The sequence below is a fragment of the Homo sapiens genome, chromosome 19 (genome assembly GCF_000001405.40).
Source record: "Homo sapiens chromosome 19, GRCh38.p14 Primary Assembly".
Taxonomy (NCBI): domain Eukaryota; kingdom Metazoa; phylum Chordata; class Mammalia; order Primates; family Hominidae; genus Homo; species Homo sapiens.
In genome coordinates this window covers 56,974,457-56,975,532 of record NC_000019.10, presented here as the reverse complement: position 1 = coordinate 56,975,532, position 1,076 = coordinate 56,974,457, and the positions used below count along the sequence as shown (strand labels likewise).

Here is a 1,076-nt window from a genome sequence, read left to right as displayed (position 1 = left end):
AGGCCTCATCAGGAATGTGGGAAGGTGATCACGCCTGCCCTGCAGATATGCCGTGCCACGGGCATCCAGTAGAAAGCTACGTGCAGAACAAGTATAATACATATTAATTACTTCATTATCATAGTCGTGATGAGGTGGGAGGATGGCTTGAGCCCATGAGTTTGAGGCTGCAGTGAGCTATGATCACAGCCCTGCACTCCAGCCTGGGTGACAGAGAAAGACCCTGCCTCTAATAAATAAATAAATAAAATAAAATAAAAATAAGTAATGATTGTAATGATAATGTTGATGGTGTATCTATTGGCAACCCTGGCCCCATCCTAAATTTGAAACTGCTGATTCTAAAAATACAAAAATCCTTTGTCTCAGTTAACAGTTCCACCATCCAAAACACATCCATGCTGCCTCTCTCCCTGGCTAGTGCCCTAATCGCAGCCTCCTCTCATGTCCACCCCTGCCCTAGTGGCCACACAGCCCAGAGTGTCCCTGGACAAAGTATTTGTTCTCTTTGAAGTTTATCTCTACGTGACTGTCTGTTTGACCTCCTCCACTCTCTCCCATTAGCTAAGCCGGCTTCCAGGCCCTAGGAATCTCAGTGCTCTACAGAAAGCCCGGCATGGAGTAAATGCTCAGTTAATATTGATGATGCTCATAATTCCTAATTTTAACAGCTAAATTATAAATCCCAAGTCCTTACCACCTACAAGGACCTTCTTGATCCAACATCCCTTCCTTCTCTCCTTGACTCTCCCTAACAGGACTTCAGCCATCTTGGTCTCCTCATCCTTCCCAGAATGCACTCCGTGTGTTTCTGCCCCAGGGCCTTGGCACCTGCTGTGCCCACTCCCCAGTGTTCTTTCCCCAGGACTGCTTCCTCCCCTTACTCGTCTCTCTTCACTTATCACAGCCTGGGAGAAGACAGCCCTGGCTGCTCCATCTCCTTCGCCCCCGTTGCTCTCTCTCCTACTATCTCTGATTCTTCATTATGGCACATGCATTATATTTCATGAGCTGTCTCCTTCCCTAGAGCGTACGTGCCTCAAGGGTTTTCATTGTGGGTTCTTGCAAATCACTGT

The 1,076-nt window shown here is 47.2% G+C and overlaps 2 annotated features.

Annotated features, from left to right (window-relative positions):
* Positions 358–652: a silencer, noted in NCBI's record as "tiled region #10473; K562 Repressive non-DNase unmatched - State 24:Quies". NCBI's record gives its function as "weakly represses a minimal TATA promoter and a strong SV40 promoter by Sharpr-MPRA in K562 cells {active_cell/tissue: K562}" and the evidence as "EXISTENCE:reporter gene assay evidence [ECO:0000049][PMID:27701403]".
* Positions 358–652: an enhancer, noted in NCBI's record as "tiled region #10473; HepG2 Activating DNase matched - State 5:Enh". NCBI's record gives its function as "activates a minimal TATA promoter and a strong SV40 promoter by Sharpr-MPRA in HepG2 cells {active_cell/tissue: HepG2}" and the evidence as "EXISTENCE:reporter gene assay evidence [ECO:0000049][PMID:27701403]".